This window comes from Homo sapiens, chromosome 6, assembly GCF_000001405.40.
Source record: "Homo sapiens chromosome 6, GRCh38.p14 Primary Assembly".
In the NCBI taxonomy this organism is placed as follows: Eukaryota; Metazoa; Chordata; class Mammalia; order Primates; family Hominidae; genus Homo; species Homo sapiens.
In genome coordinates, this window is record NC_000006.12 from 11,897,569 (window position 1) to 11,899,745 (window position 2,177).

Below are 2,177 nucleotides of genomic sequence, written 5' to 3' on the forward strand. Positions count from 1 at the left end.
AGTCTGGCAAACGGCTCCTTAATTTTATTGATCTTTTCAAATAACCAGTTTTTTGTTTCATTGGTTTTCTTTATTGATTTTCTGGTTTCCATTTTATTGATTTCTGCTGTAATTTTTATTATTTCTTTTATTCTTACCTTGAACTTAACTTCCTCTTTTGTTCTAGTTTCTTAAAATGGAAGCTGAGATTATTGATTTAGATGTTTTGTTTATAATACATGCATTCAATGTTATAAATTTCTCTGTAAGCACTACTTTTGCTGGATCCCACAAGTTTTGGTAAGTGTGTTTTCATTTTTATTTAGTTCAAAATATTTTTAAATTTAAGATTTCTCTTTTGACCCATGTGTTACTTAGAAGTGTGTTATTTAATTTTCATGTATTTCAAGATTTTGTAGTTATCTCTCTGTTATTGGTGCCTAGTTTAATTTCATTGTGGTCTGAAGGCAGACATCGTATGATTTCTATTCTTTTAGATTTTTAAGGTGTGATTTACAGCCCAGAATGTGATCTATCTTAGTGAATGTTTCCTGAGAGCCTGAGAAGAATATGTACTCTGCTTTTGTTGGATAAACTAGTTTATAGATATCAATGATATCCAGTTGATTAATAGTGTCACTGAGTTAAACTATATCCTTACTGATTTCCTATCTGTTGGATCTACCTATTTCTGATCTAAGGTTGTTGAAGTCTCCAACTATGATAGTGGATTCAACTATTTCTTCTTGCACTTCTATCAGATTTTGCTCCAGGTAGTTTGATGCTCTGTTGTCAGGCACATACATTTGAAGAATTGTTATGTCTTCTTGGAGAATTAACCCTTGGAGAATATAATAATTTTATCATTATATAATGCCCTTCCTTATCTCTGATAATTTCTTTTATGTTATATTGTCTCCATCTGAAATTAACATAGATACTCCTGCTTTCTTTTGATTAATGTTAGCATATTATATCTTTCTCCATCCATTTACTTTTCATCTAGATGTGTCTTAATATTTAATATGGGCTTCCTGTAGACAGCATGATTTGGGGTCTAGTTTTTTGATCCCCTCTGACAATCTCTGTCTTTTAAGTGGTATGCTTAGACCACTGATGTTCAAACTAATTAATATAATTGGATTAATATCTACCATATTTATTACTATTTTCTATTTGTAGCCCTTGTTGTTTCTTTTTTTAATCTTCCATTATTTTGCTGCTTTTTGTGGTTTTAATTGTGCATTTTATATGATTATGTTCTCTTTTATTTAGCATATCAGTTATACTTCTTTTATTTTACTTTTTTTAGTAAGTGCCTTAGAGTTTGCAGTGTACATTTACAATTCATCCAAGTCTACTTTCAAATGACAGTATATATACCACTTTACAGTGGTAAATGTGAGTTCCTTATACTAACCAAACAATCCTAATTCCTCCCTGTTGTCCGTTGCATCATTGCTGTCATTCATTTCACTTATATTTAAGCACACATAAGCAAATACATATTTGAATAAATTGCTATTACTATTTTGAACAAGCTGTTATCTGTTAGATCATTAAGAATAAGAAAAATCAAAGTTTTCATTTTATCTTGACTTATTCCATCTTTAATGTTCTTTCTTTTTTTTTTTTTTTTTTTGTGAGACGGAGTCTCGCTCTGTCACCCAGGCTGGAGTGCAGTGGCGTGATCTCAGCTCACTGCAACCTCCACCTCCCCAGTTCAAGCGATTCTCCTGCCTCAGTCTCCCAAGTAGCTGGGACTACAGGTGCGTGCCACCACGCCTGGCTAATTTTTTGTATTTTTAGTTGAGACGGGGTTTCACCACGTTAGCCAGGATGGTCTTGATCTGACCTCATGGTCTGCCCGCCTCAGCCTCCCAAAGTGCTGGTTCTGTCTTTATTTATGTAGATCTGAGTTTCTCACCTGTATGGTTTAACTTCTCTATAAAATATTTTTTACTTATAATGTTATTTTGTATTTTGCTTATTATAAGTTTTATATTGTTGCCTAAATAGATTTTATTTGCATAAATTTACAGGGTACATGTGCACATTTGTTACATGAATATATTGTGTAGTGGTGAAAGAAAATAGACATTTCTTGCAAAGCAGGTTTACTGACAACAAATTCCTTTAATTTTTGCTTGTCTAAGAAAGTATTCTCCTTCACTTTTGAAGGAGAATCTTACAGGGTA